Source organism: Homo sapiens, chromosome 19, assembly GCF_000001405.40.
Source record: "Homo sapiens chromosome 19, GRCh38.p14 Primary Assembly".
In the NCBI taxonomy this organism is placed as follows: domain Eukaryota; kingdom Metazoa; phylum Chordata; class Mammalia; order Primates; family Hominidae; genus Homo; species Homo sapiens.
In genome coordinates, this window is record NC_000019.10 from 55968213 (window position 1) to 55994715 (window position 26503).

At 42.9% G+C, this 26503-nt stretch overlaps 2 protein-coding genes across 3 annotated transcripts in view, besides 1 other annotated feature; both read left to right on the forward strand.

The window, feature by feature from the left end:
- NLRP8 (NLR family pyrin domain containing 8) overlaps positions 1-20417 on the forward strand; it is a 40798-nt gene extending 20381 nt beyond the window's left edge. Inside the window, exons 6-10 of one of the 2 annotated variants that reach the window (NM_001317000.1) lie at positions 2332-2484; positions 5497-5610; positions 7921-8091; positions 11182-11352; positions 19602-20417. In NM_001317000.1, the coding sequence (NP_001303929.1) occupies positions 2332-2484; positions 5497-5610; positions 7921-8091; positions 11182-11352; positions 19602-19701 (709 nt within the window). In that variant the 3' untranslated portion in view covers positions 19702-20417. Of the gene's footprint in view, positions 1-2331; positions 2485-5439; positions 5611-7920; positions 8092-11181; positions 11353-12846; positions 12947-19601 lie in introns of those variants that run through there. The other variant, NM_001433706.1, reaches the window with a different exon arrangement.
- Positions 929-2128: an enhancer, noted in NCBI's record as "BRD4-independent group 4 enhancer chr19:56480507-56481706 (GRCh37/hg19 assembly coordinates)". NCBI's record gives its function as "activates an origin of replication core promoter dependent on BRD2, P300/CBP, MED14 and CDK7 cofactors, and independent of BRD4, by STARR-seq in HCT116 cells {active_cell/tissue: HCT116}" and the evidence as "EXISTENCE:reporter gene assay evidence [ECO:0000049][PMID:35650434]".
- NLRP5 (NLR family pyrin domain containing 5) overlaps positions 18563-26503 on the forward strand; it is a 75036-nt gene continuing 67095 nt past the window's right edge. The window contains exon 1 of the mRNA NM_001433705.1: positions 18563-18609. The gene's annotated coding sequence lies outside the window, so the exon portion shown is untranslated. The remainder of the gene's footprint in view (positions 18610-26503) is intronic.

Sequence of the window (26503 nt, forward strand, 5' to 3'; positions counted from 1 at the left end):
TGGATCACCTGAAGTTGAGAGTTCGAGACCAGCCTGGCCAACATGGCAAAACCCCGTCTCTACGAAAAATACAAAAATTAGCTGGGTGTGGTGGTGCGCACCTATAATCCTAGCTACTCAGGAGGCCGAGGCAGGAGAATTGCTTGAACCCGGGAGGCGGAGGTTGCAGTGAGCCGAGATCACGCCATTGCACTCCAGCCTGGGCGACAGAGCAAAAACTCCATCTCAAAAAATAAAAATAAAATAGGCCAGGCACGGTGGCTCACGCCTGTAATCCCAACACTTTGGGAGGTCAAGGTGGGTGGATCACCTGAGGTCAGGAGTTTGAGACCAGCCTGGCCAACATGGTGAAACCCTGTCTCTACTAAAAATACAAAATTAGCCAGTTGTGGTGGCTCACACCTGTAATTCCAGCTACTCAGGAGGCTAAGGCAGGAGAATCGCTTGAATCCAGGAAGCAGAGGTTGCAGTGAGGCAAGATCATACCATTGCACTCCAGCCTGGGCAACAAGAGCAGGACTCTGTCTCAAAAAATAAATAAATAAAATAAAATAATGTTTTATTAGAAAACATTCTTGGTTGATATGCTGTAGAAAACCAAGTGGCACTCCAGAGGAGGCCCACGAGCCACTGCTTGCCAGCTCCTGACCACTGCCCTGGGGCTGCCATTGTCTACCATACCCATTTGGTGGAAACATGATGTCATGGTGCACTACTCTGCACCTCCTCCCACTCCTCGCTCAGTGACCTCCCACTCTGAGCTGAAAATCAGCCATGGCAGAGGCATTTACCCAACAGGCACTGGCAAACACTGCACACCAGGACTCCCTCTTCCAGAATGGCAGTGGTTAGACATTTACTGCCACACACCTACTCAGACTGTACTTTTTTGGTTTGTTTGTTTATATTCATAGGTTTTAGGGTACAGGTGATTTTTGGTTACATGGATAAATTCTTTAGTGGTGATTTCTAAGACTTTAGTGCACTTGTCACCCAAGCAGTGTACACTGTACCCCATGTGTAGTCTTTTATCCCTCACCTCCTTCCAACCTTCACCCCAACCACAAGTCCCCAGAGTCTATTACATCATTCTTATGCCTTTGCATCATCATAGCTTAGCTCTCACCTGTAAATGAGAACATACGACGTTTGGTTTTCCATCCCTGAGTTACTTAGAATAATGGCCTCCAGCTCCATCCAAGTTGCTGCAAAAGACATCATTTCATTCTTTTTTCATGGCTGAGTAGTATTCCATGGTGTGTCTATACCACATTTTCCTTACCCACTCTTTGGTCAATGGGTACTTAAGTGGGTTCCATATCTTTGCAATTGTGAATTGTGCTGCTATAAACATGCATGTGAAAGTGTCTTTTTCACATAAAGACTTCTTTTCCTCTGTGTAGATGCCCAGTAGTGGGATTGCTGGATCGAATGGTAGTTCCACCTTTAGTTCAGACCCCACTTTCCAGCCTTTCCATGTGCGAACCTTCTCTCAACAGAATTTGTATGACCTCTCATTTTGTTTTCATCTGCCAGCGTTGCTCCTTTACATCCAACAGAGTTGAATGTAGCTTGGATAATCTCCGCATTTCATTACCTTTCTTGCACAGAACAGAAAGCTCAGGTGGCTGGAACCTGGAGGTGGTAAGCACAATGCTTCACTGAATGTCTTTATATAAACAGCCCACCTTGAGGCCGAAATCCAGCCCGAGAAGACAGTGGCTGTGAGACTCAGGAAACCTTCTCTAACGTCACTGGATCTCAGTTCTTCACCTTGATGATGACTGGCAGATAAATGCACAAAGTGTGAGTTAGACAGGAGAAATAAGCATTGAGGTCTATTGCACAGCAGGGTGACTATAACTAATAATAACCTATTATTTCAAAGTTGCTAATGGAGTAGATTTTTAACATTCTCACTACAAAAATGATTAAATTGGTGAGATGATGGATGTATTAATTAGCTTGATTGATGCCTTCTATAATATACACATAAATGAAAATATTACATTGGACCCTATAAATATACACAATTATATTTTTCCAACTAACTTTTTTTAAAATTTGTATTTCAAGGAGCTGAATGGAAATAGTTAGAGCTCAGTCGTTATTGTATTCCAGTTGATGACAGCCCCAAGAGTGTGTTGGTTTTTGCTGATGACTTGGGAGGAAGTTCCTGAGCTTGGTGCAGGTGTGCTGGCCGGAAAGTTGGAAATAATCCCCCGAGTCTCTGCTGTGAAGACTGAGACATGAGACAGTGGAATCCAGGAGGTCCTACAGGTACCATTTTCCCCAGAACCATGGCTCAGCATTTGTATCTGGCTTCTACAGGTTGGAAGACTGCTTGGCCACCCCTAGAATTTGGACTGATCTTGGCAATAATCTTCAAGGTAACGGGCATCTAAAGACTCTCATACTAAGAAAAAACTCCCTGGAGAACTGTGGGGCGTATTACCTGTCTGTGGCCCAGCTGGAGAGGCTGTCGTAAGTCTCCTTTCTAGTGGCTGTGGTTGTGGTTGTGGTTGTGGTGGTTGTTTGGTAGATTTAGTGCTTCTGTGAGAAAAGAAGTCATAGGGAAGGTACATGTATAGGAGCAAACATAAGTCTTGTGATTGATGTAATTATATAGATAGGTCAATAAGGGTCCAGCCAAGAATGAAAGAGAAATAACATATCTACATAAAAGTACGGATTTATACCTAATATTCTATATCAAGCATAATGAGTCCTATGTATCCATCATCCCGTTTATGAAATAGAACTCATCAGTTCTGTTTTCGCCTGTCCTCACTGGTTTTATTGACCCTGCCCCCGACCCCACTGTGATGACATATTGAATCAGGTTGATCAGGCTCCTTAATTTATGTATAGTATTAATATTACTACCCGTGTATCCTTAAACAGGCATCACATCGTTTTGTGTTGCTTTGAATTTTACATAAAAGGGCCGGGCACGGTGGCTCATGCCTGTAATCCCAGCACTTTGGGAGGCCGAGGCGGGCGGATCACCTGAGGTCAGGAGTCTGAGACCAGCCTGGCCAACATGGTGAAACCCCATCTCTACTAAAAATACAAAAATTAGCCAGGTGTGGTGGCACGCACCTATAATCCCAGCTACTCGGGAGGCTGAGGTAGGAGAATCCCTTGAACCCAGGAGGCTAGAGGTTGCAGTGAGCCGAGATCGCACCACTGCACTCCAGCCTGAATGACAGAGTGAGACTCGTCTCAAAAAAAAAAAAAAAAAAAAGGATTTTACATAAAAGTATCACCTGTGATGTGTTTTTTCCCTGATCTATATCTTAGTGTTCATCTGTTTAGTTGCTTCTATAGTTAATTCCTCTTCACTACAGAATGATATTGATACGAAGATCCAAGAATTTAGTTATTCATTCTACTCACAGTTGAGATTTGGGCTGTTTCTAATTGTTGGCTACACACAGACACACACACACACGCACACACACACACTGTGATGAACATTCTAAGAAAAGAATTGCAGGGCCTTGGTGAGTGTTCATCTTCAGTTTTAGTAGGTTTGTTTCCAGAGTGTACGAATTGGCCAGAGCAATGGGTATGAAGGTGCTCCTAACTCCAGATCCCTATCCAAGTCTTACTATTATCAGTATTGTTGTTACTGTTATTGCCAATCTGTTGGGCAGGAAATGGTACCTTATGGTTTTAATTTGCATTTCCTTGATTACTAGCGACTATTTTTTTATCATCTGACTGTTCATCTTAGTTTATCTGATTTGCATGTCTTCCCATGTATTTAATGCGTCTTTCCTTTTTTATAACTTCCGAAATTATGTCTCTTCCTCAGCCGTCTCCTTGTCTGCTATTTATTCTTTGATGGTCTCTTTCTCTTCTCTCTTAATCCCATATATTTATTTTCTATGTTTTAATTTTTTTTTTTTTTTTTTGAGACAGAATCTTGCTCTGTTGCCCAGGCTGGAGTGCAGTGGTGTGATCTTGGCTCACTGCAAGCTCTGCCTCCCTGCTTCAAGTGATTCTCCTGCCTGAGCCTTCTGAGTAGCTGGGATTACAGGTGCCTGCCACCGCACTCAGCTGCTTTTTGTATTTTTAGTAGACACGGGGTTTTGCCACGTTGGCCAGGCTGGTCTTGAACTCCTGACCTCAGGTGATCCACCTGCCTCGACCTCCCAAAGTGCTGGGATTACAGATGTGAGCCACTGCACCTAGTCTTTTTTTTTTTCAGGTTTTAATTTTTATTTCAATAAGTTTTGGGGAAACAGGTGGTGTCTGGTTACATAAATAAGCTTTTTCGTGGTGATTTCTGGGATTTTTGCACGCCCAACATCCGAGCAGTGTACACTGTACCCAATGTGTAGTCTTTTATCCCTTGCCACCCCCCACCCTTTCCCCCAAGTCCCCAAAGTCCAGTCTGTCATTCTTATGCCTTTGTGTCCTCATAGCTTAGCTCCCACATATGAGTGAGAACATACGACGTTTGGTTTCCATTCCTGAGTTACTTCACTTAGAAAAATAGTCTCCAATTCTACCTGGGTTACTGCAAATGCCATTATTTTGTTCCTTTTTATGGCTGAGTAGTATTCCATGGTGTGTGTGTGTGTGTGTATGTGTGTGTGTGTGTGTGTGTGTGTGTGTGACATTTTCTTTATCCACTTGTTGTTTTATGGGCATTTGGGCTGGTTCCATATTTTCGCAACTGCAAATTGTGCTGCTATAAACATGTGTGTGTAAGTATCTTTTTCATATAATGACTTCTTTTCCTCTGGGTGAATTCCCAGTAGTGGGATCGCTGCATCAAATGGTCACTCTACTTTTAGTTCTTTAAGGAATCTCCACACTGTTTTCCACAGTGGCTGTACTAGTTTACATTTCCATCAACAGTGTAAAAGTGTTCCTTTTTCACCAACACCTTTCTTTTTATTGTTTGATTATAGCCATTCTTGCAGGAGTGAGGTGGTATTGCATTGAGGTTTCAATTTGCAGTTCCCTGATACTTAGTCATGTCAAGCATTTTTCCATTTGCTTTTTGGCCATTTGTGTATCTTTTAGGAATTGTCTATTCGTGTCCTTAGCCCACTTTTTGATGGGATTTTTTTTTCTTGCTGATTTGTTCTTTGTAGATTCTGAATATTAGTCCTTTGTCAGATGTATAGATTGTAAAGATTTTCTCCCACTCTGTGGGCTGTCTGTTAACTCTGCTGATTATTTCTTTTGCTGTGCAGAAGCTTTTTAGTCTATCAGTTTTATTGATCCACAATGCCTTCATCCCACCATTCCCACATCGAAGCTGCTGTCCTTTCCTTGAAAGCTTGGAAGTCCTGAGTGGTGATGACAGAGGTGTGAGGATGCTTCTGCATCCAGAGGGAGAGCCCTGACTGAGAAGATCACCCTTCTGTGTGAGACAAAGACCCCTCTCCATTCAGTCATCTGTGTGCTTCTCTCCCATAGGATAGAGAACTGCAACCTTACACAGCTTACTTGTGAAAGCCTTGCCTCCTGTCTCAGGCAGAGTAAGATGCTGACCCACCTGAGCTTGGCAGAAAACGCCTTGAAAGATGAAGGGGCCAAGCATATTTGGAATGCCCTGCCACACCTGAGATGTCCTCTGCAGAGGCTGGTGTAAGTCCCAGAATGTTTTCTTCTCTGAATTCCCTGGAGCAGAACAGGGTGATGAAGAGAACCTGTTATATATTCATTTATGTCACATATTTATTAAGTGCCTACTGCGTGTTAGGCATGGTGCTAGCACTGAGGGGAAAAGCACAATAAAGAGGAGGGTTATTATTTCTGATTCAGGGACAAGTGATCTAGAGGCAGAGTTCTCAAACTGTGTACCAAGACACCCAGGAGTGAACTCAGAAGGACTGCAGGGTATTTTAAATTTAAGGAATATTGAGATCTATCTGTTCATCACTGTAAGAACGACTACCTCGAGGTGTAAGAATTAAAGAAAGAGGAAAGAAACACAAAAGGTGGCTTGACAGTTAAGGACAGGTTTATTTTAGAGAAAACAGACCTGAGAGGGGCTTCTGGCCGAGTTAGGTCAGAGCTACACTCTCTTATAGACTAAGAGTTTTTAAAGATTCAGGGTGGGAATATTTATCAGAGGCTTGGACTGCTTCTGTGACTCTTGGTTGTGCTTATCTGGGAGGGAGAGTTGTGTGTCTGTTCCCATACATCCTTCTGCAGCTGCAGGCATATCCCCTGAGTCTGCTTTTAGCTTCCCTATCTTAGTGCACCTGAAGGGAAAGGAATGTGCTATTAAGGCTCACTGTTTTGGGAGGCCTGTAATCCCAGCACTTTGGGAGTCCGAGGCGGGAGGATCACGAGGTCAGGAGATCGAGACCACAGTGAAACCCCGTCTCTACTAAAAATACAAAAAATTAGCCGGGCACAGTGGCGGGCGCCTGTAGTCCCAGCTACTCAGGAGGCTGAGGCAGGAGAATGGCATGAACCCGGGAGGCAGAGCTTACAGTGAGCCAAGATCGCACCACTGCACTCCAGCCTGGGCGACAGAGTGAGACTCTGTCTCAAAAAAAAAAAAAAAGAAAGAAAAAAGGCCCATTGTTTTACTGGGGCTCGTGGCATGAATGTGAAGTTTGGCAGTTACCCGAGAGACTTTCCCCCCACCTCCCTCTGTGCCCTAGCTGTCTTATCTGTGTTTTACTGTCTGTTCTTTCTGGCTGCTTGTAATTAGGAGAGAAATGATTTCCTTGAAATGCATGAGGTTAGAAAGGGAGCTGGAACTTAAAGTGCCAGTGTCTGTCCGAGATCACGGTGCTCCTGCTCTGTCACGAGGTAGTTCATTTTCACAGCTTGAAATCAGCCATGGCAGAAGTGTTTGCACCATGGAAACTGGCAATCACTACACATGAGGGCTTTTGTTTGTTTGCTCTAGAGAGCTGGTTTACTAGGACATCACCGAACCATAACCATCGAATCCCCTCTTTATTTCTTGTCTCACATGAGAATATGAGCTGCTAAAAGGCAGGGGCTCTGCCTGCGTGAATTCCCATCCCCTAATTCAATGCCCCAAGCATAGTAACTCTCAGCAAATGTTTGTGAAAGGCAAGAGGTGGCGCAAAATACCCCCTGAAACACTGATACTGTTAGTTCTCCAAAAAGAAGCAGGGAACGGTGCCACTGCTTTGGAAAGCAGCTTTGGCAGTTCCTCAAAAGGTGAAGCACAGACTTAATCCGTGAGCCATCAGTCCTGCTAGTAGGTGTATCCACAAAAGAAATAAAAACCCACCTCCACATGAAAACCTGCACACAGTTCACAGCAGCATTATTCATAGTACTCATAATACCCAAGACCTGGAAACAACCTGTGTCTGTGCCCTGATGACGGCATAAAGGCAGTATGGTGTATTCACGCAATGGAATGTTATTTAATTGTTAAATGAAATACTGATTCATGCTACAGCATGGACGAATCTTCAAAATATTATGGTAGATAAAAGAAGCTAAACGCAAAAAGTCACATATTACATGATTCCATTTAAATGACATGCCAAAAATAGGCAAATCCAGAAAAAGAAAGCAAATTAGTGGTGTTAGGGTTGGGGTGGGTTGGGGGAGGAAGTGAGAAGTGGCTTCTAAAGTATCCAGGGTTTTCCTTAGGGGTGACAAAAATATTCCAAACCGAACTTACACAAATATTCTAAAATTGTGGTGATGATCATACAACTTTATAAATAGACTGAAAACCAATATTTGGTACACTTTAAGTGGGTGAATTGTGTGATATATTAATTGCATCTTGGTTATGCCATTATGCAAAAACAAAAAACAAACAAACAAAACAAACAAATAAAAACAGAACCCAAAAACAAAGAAGTAAAACCTAAGGGTGTTTTCGTTGTTGTTGTTGTTGTTGTTTTGTTGTAGTTGTTGTTGTTGTTGTTTTTAACCTGTGTTTCTTTGCAGACTGAGAAAGTGTGACTTGACCTTTAATTGCTGTCAGGATATGATCTCTGCGCTCTGTAAAAATAAAACCCTGAAAAGTCTTGACCTAAGTTTTAATAGCCTGAAGGATGATGGGGTGATCCTGCTGTGTGAGGCCCTGAAGAACCCTGACTGTACATTACAGATCCTGGAGTAAGTGGCCCCTCGTCTCCTCCTGTGAGACCAGGAGAATTGTATATAAGCGTCTCTCAGGATGGAATATATAACAGGAAAGGGCTGTCTTTTTAAGTTTCTGGATTGTTCCCTCCATTGAATTGGAGAACTGGGAAGCTTCTGAGCCGTGGTTCTCAAAGTGTGGATCAGCAGCAGTTTCGCCTGGGCAGGACACACACAAATTTTGGGGCCCCACTTCGGACCTAGGGAACCAGAAACTCTGAGGGTGGGATGCAGCAATCTGTGTTAACAATTGTTTTAAAAAATATTCTTCCAGTTGAATAAAAGATAACAAAGAGTTTGTCACTTTTAGACTGATATCTGAGATGACTGGTCTGAAATTGAATTTTACACTTAGGAGATATATATATACACATATATGTATATAAAGATACATATATAAATATATATGTATATAAAGATGTATCTAAAGATACATATATATGCATATATATGTATATAAAGATACATGTGGCCAGGCGCGGTGGCTCACGCCTATAATCCCAGCACTTTGGGAGGCTGAGGTGGGGCGGATCATGAGATCAGGAGATCGAGACTATCCTGGCTAACACGGTGAAACCATGTCTGTACTAAAAATACAAAAAATTAGCTGGGCGTGGTGGTGGGCGCCTCTAGTCCCAGCTAATCGGGAGGCTGAGGCAGGAGAATGGTGTGAACCTGGGAAGTGGAGCTTGCAGTGAGCCGAGATCACACCACTGTACTCCAGCCTGGGCCACAGAGTGAGACTCTGTCTCAAAAAAAAAAAAAGATACATATATACATATATATGTATATAAAGATACATAAGATACATATATACGTATATACGTATATAAAGATACATAAGATACATATATACATATATACGTATATAAAGATACATAAGATACATATATATATATATGTATATAAAGATACATAAGATATCTGCATATGTGTACACATATATGTACAGACACATATATACTTATTTTATAAATATTTATATGTAGATACTTATTTTATATATTATACATATAAGCAATATATTATTTATATATAAGTATATATAAATATATAAAATAAATACGAATATATTATATGTAAATATATGTAAATATACAATATATTATACATTATATACTTACATATTATGTTGTATATTATATATTTATATATACATAATTTATATTATATAAATATATGTATTATATATTTATATATAATATTAAAATATATATTAATTATATTAATATATTTATATATGAAAATATATAATGTATATATTTCCCTGTTTTTTGTGGTCTCTTTGCTAACATGTATACCAGCCAGTGATATAAAAGCATTCGTTCTGTTTTTAATTCTTTGGTTACCTTAAGTATTTGGAAAAGACTTGTAAACATCTCCTCTCATGATCAAAAAATGAATCTAATTTTACCTCTTTCAATCCAAATTTTTTGCTCTCCATTAGCATAGTCTTGGTATTTAATCTAGCTCATTTAAATTATTGTCTTGTAGAACATCTTTCATTTCCAGGATTAGTTTGGATAATGGTGTTCATTTTTGTTGATGATTTGCTTCTCAAATGAAATTCAGTATGAATTCACTGCCAGTCATGATTCTTTGATGCCTCAAATCTAGTTTGGGTTTTAAATGTTGATTTATCTCTTAGATTGAGTGAAATATATTTTCAGGTAGAAAAGAACTTTCTACACTTGAAAGTGTTTATGCAGTATTTTCTAAGCCTTTGCTTGTATGAGATTATTATTATTTTTTTCAGATCACAAAATTAATTTTATGTTTCCAGTATACCTGTGGGGCTAACAAGACAGTTATCTGCTTTGGGTCCTTTTCATCCACCTGTCCCCTTTGGGTTTGCTGTTTAATTTAATTTTTTTTAAATTTTTTTATTATACTTTAAGTTTTAGAGGGGGGAGGGATAGCATTTGGAGATATACGTAATGTTAAATGGCGAGTTACTGAGATTATTTTTTAATCTAGTTTTGGTCATGAGCAGTAACTTGGCTCAGTGTAAAATTCATGGACCCTATCTGTCTTAGTCTGTTTTCTGCTGCTTATAACAGAATACCTGAAATTGCATGACGTATAAAGAAAAGGACTGTGGAGGCTGAGAAGTCCAAGGTGGAGGGGCTGCATCTGGTGAGAGCCTTAGTGCTGGGGGGATTCTCTGCAGGGTCACTAGTGAGTCACTGAGCATGCTGTATACTGGCTCAGATCTCTTTCCCTCTTCTTATACAGCCACTCATCCCACTCCCATGATAACCCGTTAACCCATTAATCTAATAATCCATGAATTTTACTCTTTGTTCAAGGACTCTTATGGGCCGGCATCGTATTTATGATACACGGCACCTCTTTGAGACATGGTCACTTATTTGTAGATGTGCCTCCCCAACTTTTCAGTGAGTACTGTGTGGGAGGGCAAAGTGACTTACTTATAGAAGGATTTGAGCTGGGTGTGGTGGCATGTGCCTACAGTCCCAGCTGCTAGGGAGGCTACTAGGTAGTAGGATTGCTTGAGCCAAGGAATTTGAAGCTACAGTGAGTCAGGGTCACACCACTGCACTCCAGCCTGGGCAACAGAGTGAGACTCAGTCTCCAAAAAAAATTTTTTTTTAAAAAGATCCAAACACCTGGCCCATTAGGACAATAAAACCATGCTATTTGAATACATGTATTTTGTTACCTGTCTCCTCCCTCAATACCCTGCCCAGTCAACTGTGAGTTACAGGAAGGCAAGGATGGTGTGTGTTGCTCACTCTTGTGTCAAAAATGTCCACTAGGTAGAATCAAATATCTTTTGAATGAATGAAGATAAGTAGGTACAAGCCATTTTCGAAAGATATACTTGGCTCATAAATTCTTAGAGTGAGGAATACTATAGCCTGCTCTGAAATCACCAAAAGGACACAAAGAAACTGATTGACTATAGGTGAATAGACCATAGTTGGAACAACATTACACATTCCTGTCAGTGTGATTTCTTGGCTGTAAGCCGTCACACCGGCTGAGCTCTCAGATGAGTTGTGATGACTTCTCTGCTGTCTGCTGTCTGTTTCTGTGTCACAGGCTGGAAAACTGCCTGTTCACCTCCATCTGCTGCCAGGCCATGGCTTCCATGCTCCGCAAAAACCAACATCTGAGACATCTGGACTTGAGCAAGAATGCGATTGGAGTCTATGGTATTCTGACCTTGTGCGAGGCCTTCTCAAGCCAAAAGAAGAGAGAAGAGGTCATTTTGTAAGTCTCCACCGGGTTTCCTGTGCAAAACCTACCACACAAGAGAAGCTCCTTGTAAAACGTGAGATGCTGGGCTGGGTGTAGTGGTGCATGCCTGTAATCCCAGCACTTTGGGAGACTGAGACAGGCAGATCGCTTGAGTCTGGAGTTCAGACCAGCCTGGGCAACATTGCAAAACCCTGTCTTCTACTAAAAAATAGAAAAATTAACTAGGCATGGTGGTGCATGCCTGTAGTCCCAGCTACTCAGGAGGCTGAGGTGAGAGGATCACTTGGGCCCAGGAGGTTGAGGCTACAGTGAGCCATGATCACACCACTGCACTCCAGCCTGGGCAACAGAGTGAGACCCTGTCTCTTAAAATAGAAAGTGAGATTGTGGACCTGGAATGCTATTGTTTCAGGTGTTGCTACCATTCTGCTTTTGTTTCCTGGGGATTTATATTTCCCTTAATGTAGCTGTTCAAACCCCCAACTCCCACTTTTACCTAAAGGAACCATTAACTGGGATTCTCCTATCTGATATCTTCTTTCTTGTCTTTGTCTTCTCTTTTCTTCATTTCTTCACCTTTTCTTCCTGAACAGCTGAGTTTGTTATCACTTACCAGCTATATAGCCATGAACAAGTTAATCTTTCTAAGCCTCAATTTGCTAATCTATAAAATTGGGATGGTGTCTTCTCCCATGGAGATTTTATAATGACTGAAAGAAAAGTCGCACATACGGCACTTAACACAGTGCCTAACACATGTTCTCAACCAGTGGTGGGTTCTGGGTGAAAGATACAATTTTTCCTGGTGTATGAGTTGTCTATTGCTATGCAGTGAATTACCTCAACGCTTAGTAACTTAAAGCCACATAAAGGCGTATTGTCTTACACAATTTCTGAGGGTCAGAAATACGACAGCGATGTAACTGGGAGGTTCTAGCTCATGGTATCTCCCGAGGTCTCAGTTGAGCCACTGGCTGGGGTTTGATGAGGGCTGTTGAATCTGCTTCCAGGCTCACTTGTGTGGCTGTGGGCGGCGGGGGGGCCTCAGTTGTTCTCCAGGGAGTTGCTCATGACATTGCAGCTGGCTTCCTCCAGAACGAGAGGCTGAGAGAGGCAGAGGCAGAGGGAGATGGTGGCAGAGAGAGATGACTGACAGCTCAAAACAGAGCCACAGTCTTTTATTACTTAATCTTGAAAGTGGCGTCCCATCACGTCTGCCTTGTTTTATTGGCCATGGTCCAGCCCTGGTCCAGTGAGAGAGGGAGCCATCCAAGGGTGTGATTTGTAGGAGGAGGGATCATGGGGGCTGTCTTGGTTGAACCCCAAGGCACTTTGAATTCATTCCTGAGCTCCTAAGAGTGCTCCTATTTGTCTTGACCTACTGCATGGGGCCATGGTGGTCTCCTAGGTGGTAAATTTCTGTTCTAGAGGTTCTGTCTCTTTGTTTTGGGGCTGCAAAAGAAAACCAAATGTAAGAAAACAAAACCTTGTTTTTATCCTTCCCAGGGAGAAGAAAGACAGCAATGAAGTGGATATGCTGGCAAGACTGGAGGGCCCTGTAGTGGAAGGAGACTTCCTGAAGATAATACAGGACTGGAATTCTTAGTGCTGTGATGAAGCAATAGAGATGAATCGATCTGGACCCTCTGGTGACTGATCTGGTGGCCCTCTGGGTATTTTTTTTTTTTCCTAATGAGAAATTGGGAAACAGTTGCCTATTTTGTGGGCCGTCCTGACTCTGGAATGGCTCCATTCGTTCTGGGAACTGGTGTAGGGCATGACCTCCAAATAGCTCCATCAATGTTATGGAGTGTCATGTGTTAACACATAGATTAGTCACTGCATTGGGGGCACCAAGGTAAGGTGAGTTCCAACCCACATCTACTCCTGGCTACCAGAATGTCTTTGAATATGTCATGTAAACATCTCTTGGAGATATGTCTTCATATCTTCAAGGGTATTAGAAAAATTTAATTAAAAATATGCATGAATGCAATTTGAAATTTTTTAGAGTGTGATTTATTTACCAATAGACTGGTCCATCAACTGTTAAGGAAGAAACCTGTTCTTAACGTGTCTGGGGAAAGTGTGCACAAGGAACTTCTAAGGAAGATAATAAATGTAGCAAGTACTGGAAAAAGGAAATCACCTCATGTTTAAGGAGCTCTAAAAATGAAGTGTAACTCTTAACTTTTTAAGGTCCTAACTAACTACTACATTCTTAAATTAGTTATGGCAGCATTTAAAACTCAAAGATCTAGAAAGCAATCACAATGTTTTTTTTCCCCTTCTGAAACAGCCATCTTTTTACAATGTAATGATCAGGTATCATCCAGGTTGGTTTCTCTTGTTTTTTGTTTTTTTTTTTGAGATGGAGTCTCACTCTGTCACCACACTGGAGTGCAGTGGTGTAATCTCGGCTCACTGCAACCTCCACCTCCTAGCTTCAAGTGATTCTCCTGCCTCAGCCTCCTGAGTAACTGGGACTACAGGTGTGCACCACCACTCCCAGCTAATTTTTTTGTATTTTTAGCAGAGACAGGGTTTCACCACGTTGGCCAGGATGGTCTTGATCTCTTGACCTCGTGATTTGCCTGCCTTGGCCTCCCAAAGTGCTGGGATTACAAGTGTGAGCCACTATGCCCGGCCCAGGTTGATTTCTTAATTCTGAAGAAATTTTATTTCAAAAGCCAGAGCAGTTGGGGTCTTCAACCTCCACCCTAGCAATCCCACTGCTAGGTATATACCCCAAAGAAATCAGTAAATCAGAGAGATATCTGCACTTCCATGTTTATTGCAGCACTATTCACAATAGCCAAGATTTGGAAGCACCTAAGTGTCCATCAACAGATGAATGGATAAAGAAAATGTGGTACTTACGCACAATGGAGTACTATTCAGCCATGAAAAAGAAACTTAAGTGTAGAAACAATGGTATCATAGAAACAGCACACTGGTGCTCAGGTATTGTTTTCTAAGTACCGTTCCTCATTAAAGGAACCAAGAATCTTCAGAGAAAGAGCTGACTCCACAGTTGGTGCTGGGAATGTACAGAATGGGCTTGGAACATCTTGTGCCAGAAGTAAGACAATGCTCAGAGAACAATGGGGGCCAGGCCAGTGGCTTGCACCTGTAATCTCAGCACTGTGGGAGGTTAAGGTGGAGAGTTGCTTGAGCCCAAGAGTTAGTGACCAGCCTGGGCAACATAGGGAGTCCCCATCTACATTAAAAAATGTTTTACAAATCACCTGGGCATGATGGCGCATGCCTGTGGTCCCAGCTATTTGGGGGGCTGAAGTGGGAAGATCACTTGAGCCCAGAATCTCAAGGCTGCAGTGAGCCATGATGCATCACTGCACTCCAGCCTGGGCAACAGAGTGAGACCCTGTCTCTGAAAAATAATAATAATAATGGGGACATAGCAATAGGAACAAGGAGCCTGATTGAATGAGTTCCCACCGGCCAAATCTGGAATAATTTAATGATCAAACCAAATAATGGTAGAAATGTGGATGACAGTCGTGAGACCTTGGTTCTTGTCTTCATTTAAAAGAATTTAAACAACAGATACACAGCAAAGGAGATGCAGCATAGGGCAATTGCAAAAGAAAAAGAATATTTTGAAAGTAGGCCAGGTGCGGTGGCTCACTCCTGTAATCCCAGCATTTTGGGAAGCTGAGGCAGGTGGATCATCTGAGGTCAGGAGTTCGAGACCAGCATGGCCAACGTGGTAAAACCCCATCTCTACTAAAAATACAAAAATTAGCCGGGCGTGGTGGTGCATGCCTGTAGTCACAGGTACTTGGGAGGCTGAGGCAGGAGAATCACTTGAACCCAGGAGGTGGAGGTTGCAGTGAGCCAAGATTTTGCCACTGCACTACAGCCTGGGTGACAGAATGAGACTCCATCTCAAAAAAAAAAAAAAAAAAAAAGCAAATAAATGAAAGACGAAATGTGGTGGTAGAGAAACCATCAGAAGGTGCTGAAACCAGTAGATGGAGACTCGATGTACTCACATGAGTCTTTAAGGTTCTCCCCAGAAACTACATGTGAATTACAAAGTAAGAGTAGTGGGAAAACAGGGTAGATTGTGCCTTAGCCAAGTACTCAAAGTTAACATCACCAATAAGAAGACAAATGGATATCATGTGCCTGTGGATGGAACGTGCTGAGATAAACACAGCAGGGCCTCAGTGACATGACAGAACAAGAACACAAAGTTGGCAGGAACTATTTCAGATTCAGGAAGACCAACCTAGTAGATGCAAAAAAAAAAAAAAAAAAAAAAAAAGATAAAATTCAACATCAATTTGCAATTTTTAAAAAACACTTGGCAAACTTGGAACCGATGGTGACTTATTTAATTTGAGGAAGGGCTTCTAAAAAATTACTGCTAACATGCTTATTGTTAATTTAATCTAATATTTCACTATTTGTGAAAATTCTTTCCCTAAGATAAAAATGAGAGCAAAAAACCCAACCACTATTACAACTTTTATTTAACTTTGCACTGGAGGTCCTAGTCAGTGTAACAGGGCAACAAGAGGAATAATAAACACAACATTATAAAGATGGAAATAAAACTGTCATTTTTCACAAACAATGTGATTACATACATAGAACAAGAACTGATAATCCTGGTAAACCCTGGGGATTAAAAAATAATAATTAAAAAGTGAATTAGTAAGATCCCACACACAACAACTCGATATATGAAAATAAAATGTATTACTATGTACTATTAAGCAGTTTTTAAAAGCATAAAATTTCTTTTATACTGGTGTCAATAATCTCAAATAGGAATAAACAATAACAGTTGTGGCCGGGCGCAGTGGCTCACGCCTGTAATCACAGCACTTTGGGAGGCCGAAGCGGGGGGATCACCTGAGGTCAGGAATTTGAGACCGGCCTGGCCAACATGGAGAAACCCCGTCTCTACTAAAAATACAAAATTAGCCAGGCGTGGTGGTGCATGCCTGTGGTCCCAGCTACTTTTGAGGCTGAGGCAGGAGAATCCCTTAAACCTAGGAGGTGGAGGTTGTGTTGAGCCGAGATCGCGCCATTGCACTCCAGCCTGGGCAACAAAAGCAAAACACTGTCTCCAAAAAAAAAAAAAAAAAAACAACAGTTGTGCCATGGCCAGGCCCAGTGGCTCACGCCTGTAATCCCACCCCTTTGGGAGGCCAAGTGGGGAGGATCACTTCAGCCCAGGAGTTCGAGGCTGCAGTAAGCCGTGCTTGCACCACTGCACTCCAGCCTGGGCAACAGAGTGAGACCCTATCTCAAAAGAAAAAATTAAAGAATACCTAATAAATGGAGAAATATACAAACTTCATGAATGGGAACACTGTCTTTCAAAGATGACAATTTTCCTTGGCTGTATGCATAAAGTTATTGCAATTACCATAAAATTCCCAAAGTACTCTAGTGGAAATTTACAAGCAAATTCTAAAGTATATGAAGAAATGTGGCCAAGCGCGGTGGCTCACGCCTGTCATCCCAACACTTTGGGAGGCCCAGGTGGGCGGATCACAAGGTCAGGAGTTCGAGACCAGCCTGACCAATATGGTGAAACCCCGTCTCTACTAAAGATACAAAAAATTAGCCAGGCGTGGTGGCGGGCGCCTGTAATCCCAGCTACTAGGGAGGTTGAGGCAGGAGAATCGCTTGAACTGGGGAGGCGGAGGTTGCAGTGAGCTGAGATCATGCCATTGCACTCCAGCCCAGGTGACAGTGTGAGACTCTGTCTCAAAAAAATAAAAATGAAAAAGAAAAAAAAGAAATGCAAAGAGTTCAGGATAACTAGCACAGTATGGTATTTTCCATACATGTAATTAGAGATTGGAGAAATATACTAGGGAAACAGAATAGAGTCCAGAACAGAAGGGCATAAACATGATCACGTGACTTCTGACAAGCTGACATTACAAAAGACTAGGGAAAGGGTAGTATTGTAACAAATGGTGCTAAATTGATTGTTCCTACATAGAAGAAAAAATCTGAATTCCTACCTCATACCATATACAAAATTAATTCCAAGTATAGTATAAATCTAAATATGAAAGGAAAGACACTACACTTTCTAAAAACTAATCAGAAGACCTTCATGACCTAAGGAGAGACCATAAATTTTAAAATGCATTCACCATAAATTCTTCAAATGGAATTTTCAAACACATTTGGCCAGGCACACTGGCTCATGCCTGTAATCCCAGCACTTTGGGAGGCCGAGGCGGGTGGATCACCTGAGGTCAGGAGTTCGAGATCAGTTTGGCCAACATAGTGAAACCCCATCTCTATTAAAAATCTGAAAATTAGCCGGGCATGGTGGTACACACCTGTAGTCCCAGCTTCTCAGGAGGCTGAGGCAGGAGAATTCTTTGAACCCAGGAGGTGGAGTTTGCACTGAGTACTCCAGCCTGGGTCACAGAGCAAGACTCCACATCAAAAAAAACTAAAAATAAATACATGGGACTTTATCAAAAGTATAAACTTCTGTTTCAAGATTACTAAGAGAGTACATTTCAAGTGTTCTCACCACAAAAAAATAAGTATTCAAGGCAATGGATGTGTTTGTTAGCTTGATTTAATCATTTGACATTGTATACATAGAAGATCACACCGGACCCCAGGAAAATATACAATTATAATTTGTCAATACACAAAAAATTAAAAAATGCCAAGTGCAACTTCCAGATTATGTAAAATAAGGGCACCCAACACACACTCACACTCACACACACACTCTATCATACACAGTCTCTCACACACACACACTCTCTGTCTCACACACATTGTCTCACACCCACTCACACAGTCTCACACACATTCTCTCACACACATACACACTGTCTCTGTCTCACACATTCTCTCTCTCACACACACATGCACTCTCTCTCTCACACACACACTCTCTCACATACACACACACACACACACACACACACACACACACACTAATTGCTTCAGGACAGCCAGCTGAAGGCTGTGAGCATCCGGGCGCCCTCAGCACAGGTGTGTGGTGGTAAAGGCAGCCTCTTGCCAGCAGCAGCACCTGTAAGTGGTGCACACAGGTGCAGAAAAGTGCCTGTTCCCTGGGGCTGGTGGTTCAGAGCCGGTTGCAGCCAATGAGCAGCAGCAACATCACTGGCTCAGCGCTCCCCAGGAACTATCGCCACGTGGGCGTGGAGCTGGGCGTGGCCTTCTTTTTTCCGTGATTGCCAGCTGGCCCAGAGCTGGACCTGCTCTTGGTGGTGAGGTGTGAAGCTGGTGAGTATTCCTCCTGTCTTGCTCTCTGCCCTTCCCGCTTTTGTTCTCCACTGCTGATTAGAACCCGCGTATTGAGCTTACTAGGTGCCCCCACCCTCTCCCTTCTGGCTGCTCAAAGCCCAGGACCAAAGGATTCCTTGAAAGAACAAAGTCCAGTTACCCCATTTTGCTGAAAAGATCTTCCTCTAAAACCTCATATTTACTTGGGGTATTTAGGTAAGTCTCTCGTCCTTTTCAGACATTCGGTCTAAAATACTGTACAGAGGGCTGGGTGCAGTGGCTCACGCCTATAATCCCAGCACTTTGGGAGGCCGAGGCAGGTGGATCATCTGAGGTCAGGAGTTCAAGACCAGCCTGGCCAACATGGTGAAATCCTCATCTCTAATAAAAGTACAAAAATGAGCTGGGCGTGGTGGCATGTGCCTATAATCCCACCTTCTAGGGAGGCTGAGACGGGAGAATCGCTTTAACCCAGGAGGCAGAGGTTGCAGTGAGCCAAGGTCACGCCACTGCACTCCAGCGTGGGTGACAGAGTGAGACTTCGTCTCAAGTAAAAATTAAGTACAGAGTAGGGGGTACTGCAACTTGAATGTCAGGATTAGCTAATGTCTGGTCTGCATTTGGTAGGAGTCCAGAGGGTGTTTTGGTGCTAATTGTGCAAATACTATGGTTAACCGTAACTTAGTTATTGAAATGCCATACAATTCTGACGGTGTTGTTTGTCCTGTTTACCAAGGGAGGAAGCTGAGCCCCAGATAAGTTAAATGGCTTGCCTGGGGTAGAAAGCAGCAAATCATTCAAAGCTGGGTCTGAGACTTCAAGCCCTATAATCTTAACTGCTGCTTTCTAATCATTCAGGACACCTGGGTAGAAAGGTGAGGTGGGAGGGGTACGGTCTGTAGAAAAAGCATAGAGACAAAATGCAAGCTTAGGGAAGTCACTCATCCTCAGAAAATAACCTCAACCAGCAGCCTTCCTTTACCTCCCTCCAGCTGTATTCCTGCCTGGACTCGAATAACTAGCTTCTCCCCAACTCCTCACCCACCCGACTTCACGGGAAAAAGTGACTGCCTATCCCAGATTAATCCTTAGGCCGTCCAGTCATCTTTCTCTGGGGCTTGATTGATCAGTTCCCACTCTGACAACTGGCAAATACCAGGCGTTATCATCCTGTATGCATTAACGTACTTTCCCCTGAAACAGAGCAACCCAGTCAACACCACAGAACCTCAGCTTTGAACCCTGGAGTGAGGACGGTGATGCCCTGTGTGTATTAATATGCTATGTAAGGCTGGGCGTGGTGGCTCACGCCTGTAACCCAGCACTATGGGAGGTCGAGGTGGGCAGATTACCTGAGGTCAGGAGTTCCAGACCAGCCTGGCCAACATGGTGAAACCCCGCCTCTACTAAAAAAAAAAATACAAAAAATTAGGCGTGGTGGTGGGCTCCTGTAATCCCAGCTGCTCGGGAGGCTGAGGCAGGAGAATCACTTGAATCTAGGAGGCAGAGTTTGCAGTGAGCTGAGATCACGCCATTGCACTCCAGCCTGGGCGACAGAGCAAGACTCTGTCTCAAGAAGAAAAAAAAAATACATATACACATAAATATATATATGTGTGTGTGTATATATATATATATATATATATATGCTATATAAAGTTTAAATGAAATGCTTTGAGTCACCTAAGACAGGATATAGACAAAGTCTTCATCGTCTTCTTGCTTCTTCTACCTTTATTTATTCTCAGCTCTGAATGTATGAACCTGCTCAATCACCTCATCTTAAAAATAAAATCACTGTCCCTAGACCATACTCGTTTCCTTACCCACCCCTGAGGCTTTTGTTGGTTTTTACAGCCCTGGTTCACGTCTTGGTCCTCCAGCCCCTTTAAAGGATTGTGTAGAGCGGTAAGGGAAATGTTTAATTCAAATTACGTGTATATAGAAGTGTTTAGATATGACAGTCCGAAATTCGTTCTTTCTCAAATAACCTTCCTTCTTAATTTCATTGCCTAAGTTGAGAGTCTTTGTCTTCTGTGTTTTGCTTTCAATTTCCATGTATCCAGGTGGTTTATGTTAACTCAGAAGGGGGAGAAAAACCTAGAAAATCTTAATTGTTCTGTGGTCAGGATGTAAGCTTTTAAACATGTGCTCAGAAATAAGTATTTTTCCATTTACCAATAGTCAATATTGTCCCTAAATATTTATAGGAATGTGTAGAAAAGCTTATTTTCTTGCTATGGTTCTATTTTGAGCAATACAGCACATAAACTTCAATGTTCTATCATCAGTGTTCACGTGTACCTAGTTTTTTGGTCTTCCATGGATGGGTAATTGTAAGAATACCTCAATTGTTTTGATGAAATTCATTTATGTCTACTTATCTTCTACTAAAATGATTTTTTAATGGGAGGTACTTTTTAGTATTTGGTGATTTTTGGTGTGTATGTGTTAGACAAAGTCTCCCTCTTTTGCCCAGGCTGTAGTGCAATGGCTGGATCTCTACTCACTGCACCCTCCGCCTCCCAGGTTCAAGCAATTCTGCCTCAGCCTCCCGAGTAGCTGGGATTACAGGTGCCCGCCACCACGCCCGGCTAATTTTCATATTTTTAGTAGAGACGGGGTTTCCCCATGTTGGCCGGGCTGGTCTCGAACTCCTGACCTCAGATGATCCACCCACCTCAGCCTCCCAAAGTTCTGGGATGACAGGCGTGAGCCACTGCGCCCGGCCTTTTTCAGTATTAATTTGAAAGAGCAGCAATATGAGAAGGTGTGGCGGGAAGTGTGTCCTTCCCTGCCCCCGTAGTGTCTCTTCCCTATTTTCTGCTCATCACCCAAAGACATTCTGCGCACGTGTATGGCATTAAGAGCCTTACAGATGGGGCAACTTTCTGTGCTGATTGTTGTGCATTTTTAAGGATGCAGGGCACGTTGGTGCTCAAATTAACCCACCTGTTTTTAATCGACTCCTAAATGGTCTTCAGTCTTGCTGTTTTACACACGGCTGGGTCTAATTGCATTTAAAACGGATAAAGATTGTTAAAGTACCGTCCAAAAAGATGGCACCCATTTACACTTCACTAATGTAGGAGCACCTTTTCCTTCACCCATCACAAAGCAGCGTCCAGTCACACATTGTGGACATTGTCAGCCTCACATGTCAAACGTAGTACATCATTTTGGCTATTTACCTTATCAGTAATAACTTTTTTTTAAAGTACATTTAAAAGTCATGCCGTTTCTTTTTTTTCTTTTTTCTTTTTTTTTTTTTTTTTTTTTTTTTTTTGAGACAGTGTCTTACTCTATGCCCAGGCTGGAGTGCAATGGTGAGATCTCAGCTCACTGCAACCTCTGCCTCCCGGGTTCAAGCGATTCTCCTGCCTCAGCCTCCCGAGTAGCTGGGACTACAGGCACACGCCACGATGCCCGGCTAATTTGTGTATTTTTAGTAGAGATGCGGTTTCACCATGTTGACCAGGCTAGTCTCGAACTCCTGACCTCAGGTGATCCACCTGCCTCAGGATCCCAAAGTGCTGGGATTACAAAAGTCATATGCAGTTTTTTAACTCTTCAAAATCCTTCTAATAGGCTGGGCACAGTGGCTCATGCCTATAATCCCAGCACTTGGGGAGGCCGAGGCAGGTGGATCATTTGAGGTCAGGGGTTTGAGACCAGCCTGACTAACATGGCGAAATACCCTGTCTACTAAAAATACAAAAATTAGGCCGGGCACGGTGGCTCATGCCTGTAATCCCAGCACTTTGGGAGGCCCAGGCGGGTGGATCATGAGGTCAGGAGATCGAGACCATCCTGGCTAACACGGTGAAACCCCGTCTCTACTAAAAATACAAAAATTAGCCGGGCATGGTGGTGGGCGCCTGTAGTCCCAGCTACTCGGGAGGCTGAGGCAGGAGAATGGCAGGAACCCGGGAGGCGGAGCTGGCAGTGAGCCGAGATGGTGCCACTGCATTCCAGCCTGGGCGACGGAGCAAGACTCTGTCTCAAAAAGAAAAAAAGCTGGGCATGGTTGAGGGTGTCTGTAATCCCAGCTACTGGGGAGGTTGAGGCAGGAGAATCACTTGAACCCAGGAGACGGAGATTGCAGTGAACTGAGATCATATCACTGTACTCTAGCCTGGGCAACAAAAGCAAAACTCCATCTCAAAGAAAAAAAAAATTCCGCTGAGCTGTTGATCATTATCATGGATTGGAAGAGCTGTTTACGTAATGCATTCTTTGTCATGTCTCAAATTTATTTGCAGCAGTTTTTTCAGCGGGACTTTAAAGATTTGTTTGTTTTTCTGGAGTGAGGAGGGTACTGTATTGAATTAATCTGTCATCTTGTCTCTTTTATACCATTCGATTGAGACCTTCTATTCCATTTGCTCATTATTTGGGGGCTAAATGTAAAGTAGGAATTCATGAACATAAATATTTCAAAATTTAGCCCCCGGAAATGGTGACCTTCTATCGTAGATGTTAAAGTGCAGCCTAGACATCAACAGAGTGAATATCATTCTTCTTAGAATTTTCTTGTCTAGTTTTGGCTTTTCATAGAAACATTGAGTTTCTTGTCCTGATAACAATATCAGCAGTACTTCTTGGATGATATTATACTGATGGAGGATGACTGATGTGTTGGGAATCTGCCTCTGCCTCACCACATTGAGCCTTTTATCTAGCAGCCGCATTTTAAAGCTCTCAAAACAGATAGCCACTTTTCTAAATTATGCATGTTTTACCTCTATAGTTGCTGTTCATTTGATCTCACGTTTAACTGGTTATTAGATTTTGTGTGGGATTTCATCGTTACATTTGTTACCAGCCCAATTTAATAACTACATATAATTTAAAATTGAGTAATTTATTAGGCATACATACCTACATACAGATGTTAATTTTCACCTTTTTCCACTTTTATACCTCCTCTTTATCTGATTGCTTTCCTATCAAATATAAATTAGGTAAATATAAATAATAGTGGAATATCAGATATAAAGAATAGGGAGAGAGTACAAAACTGAACGGAAGTGCTGACAGCTAACATTCTTTTTTTACTTTTTAGTTTTGGGGGTACATGTGAAGGTTTGTTACGTAGGTAAACTTGTGTCATGGGGGTTTGTTATACATACTATTTCCTCACCCAGGTTATTAAGCCCAGTACCCAGTCGTTATTTCTTTCTGCTTCTCACCCTCCTCCCACCCTCCACCCTCAGGTAGACCCCAGTATCTGTGGTTCCCCTCTTTGTGTCCATGTGTTCTTATTTAGCTCCCATTTATAAGTGAGAACATGTGGTAGTTGGTTTTCTGTTCCTGTCTTAGTTTGCTTAGGATGATGGCCCCCAGTTCCATCCATGTTCCCACAAAAGACATGATCTCATTCTTTTTTATGGCTGCATAGTATTCCATGGTGTACGTGTACCACATTTTCTTTATCCAGTCTGTCCTTGATGGGCATTTAGGTTGACTCCATGTCTTTTCTATTGTAAACAGTGCCACGGTGAACATTTGCATGCATGTATCTTTATGGGAGAATGCTTTATATTCCTCTTAGTGTATATACCCAGTGATGGGATGGCTGGGTCCAACGCTACTGCTTTTAGCTCTTTGAGGAATCTCCACCCTGCTTTCCACAATAGCTGAACTGATTTACACTCCCACCAACAGTGTATAAGCTTTCCATTTTTTCCTGCAACCTCAGCAGCGTCGGTTTTTTGACTTTTTAATAATGACACGTAACATTCTTATGGGATTCTCTGTAGGGCTTGTGTCAAATCCAGCCCATTGCCCAGTTTTGTAAATAAAGATTTATTGGAACACAGCTTTTCTCCTTTGTTGACAAATTGTCTACAGCTACTTTCCCAGTGCAGGAGCAGCTAAGCACGGGTGGCAGAGAGCAAATGGCCCCAAAGCCAAAAATGCCTGGCTCCTTCTGGGAGATTTGCTGACCCCTGATCTTTGTCAAAAATAGATACATTTGCTGCAGTTTTTCCTTTATTTTAGTTGACACATAACTGTACATATTTATGGAGACTTTTTTTTTTTGAAATGAATTTTCGCTCTTGTTGCCCAGGCTGGAGTGCAATGGTGCAATCTTGGCTCACTGCAACCTCTGCCTCCCAGGTTCAAGCGATTCTCCTGCCTCAGCCTCTTGAGTAGCTGGGATTACGGGCACCTGCCACCATGCCTGGCTAATTTTGTATTTTTAGTAGAGATGGGGTTTCTCCATGTTGGTCAGGCTGGTCTTGAACTCCCGACCTCAGGTGATCCACCCACCTCGGCCTCCCAAAGTGCTGGGATTACAGGTGTGAGCCACTGCGCCCGGCCCGAGTGATATTTTGATACCTGTATACAATGTATCATGATCAAATCAGGGGACTTAGCATATTCATCACCCCAAACATTTGTGTTGTGAACACTCTGTCCTCCCTTCTAGCTTTTTGAGAGTGGACAATAAGTTATAGTTCACCATATTCACCTGCAGTGCTGCAGAACACCTGCACCCATTTCTCCCTTCTACCTGTAATCTTAGCACCCATGAGCCATACTCTCCCCCTCCTCTCCCCCTCCTCTCCCCCTCCTCTCCCCCTCCTCTCCCCCTCCTCTCCCCCTCCTCTCCCCCTCCTCTCCCCCCTCTCTCCCCCCTCTCTCCCCCCTCCCTCCCCCTCTCCCCCCTCCCCTCCTCTCCCCCCTCCCCTCCCCCCTCCCCTCCCCCCCTCCCCTCCCCCTCCCCCTCCCCCTCCCCCTCCTCTCCCCTCCTCTCCTCCCCCCTCCTCCTCTCAACCTCCCCTCTCCCCTCTCCCTCCTCTCCCCTATCCTCTAATACCCACAATTACATCCCCTACTTCCATAGTCCCATTTGCTCAATTTAACTCCCACATATGAGTAAAATACATTCAGTATTTAGTTTCCCATGCCTGGTTTATTTTGCTTCACACAATGAACTACAGGCTGTAGCTCACATGAAGAGCTACAGGCTCATCTGTGTTGTCACAAATGGCAGGATTTTTTGAAGGCTGAAACATGTTCCCTTGTGTGTGTATACCACGTTTTCTTGATTCATTTGTTGATGGACAGTTAGGTAGATTACATATCTTAGCTATCGTGAATAGTGGGGTGGTAAACATGAGAGTGCAGACATACCTTTGATATACTTCGGGTAAATCACCAGATCGCTGGATCATAGGGTATTAATCTATTTTCAGTTCTTTGAGACACTGCTACACTGTTTTCCATAATGGCTGTGCTAATTTACATTTCCACTGACAGTGGAAAGGAGTTTCTTTCTCTGCATCCTTGCCAGCATTTATTTTTCGTCTTTTTTGATAGTAGCCATTCCAACTAGAGGGAAATGCAAATCAAAACCACAGTGAGATTGCGATGATGAGTAATGTTGAATCTTTTTTCGTATCTGTTGGTCATTTGGATGTCTTTTGAGAAATGTCTGTTCAGGTTTTTACCCACTTCTTAAATGGATTACTTGGAGTTTTGCTATACAGTTGTTTGAGTTCCTCATATATTCTGGGTATTAGTTCCTTGCCAGATCATTATTTTGCAAATATTTTCTCCCATTCTGCGGGGTTTTTTTGGGAGGGGGGACAGAGTCTTGTTCTGTCACCAGGCTGGAGTGCAGTGGCACCATCTCAGCTCACTGTAACCTCCAACTCCCTAGTTCAAGCGATTCTCCTGCCTCAGCCTCCCCAGTAGCTGGGATTTCAGGCACGTGCCACCACACCCAGCTAATTTTTGTATTTCTAGTAGAGATGGAGTTTCACCATGTTGGCCAGGATGGTCTCGATCTCCTGACCTCATGATCCACCTGCCTTGGCCTCCCAAAGTGCTGGAGTTACAGGCCTGAGCCACTGTGCCCAGCCAGGTTGTCTCTTTACTCTTG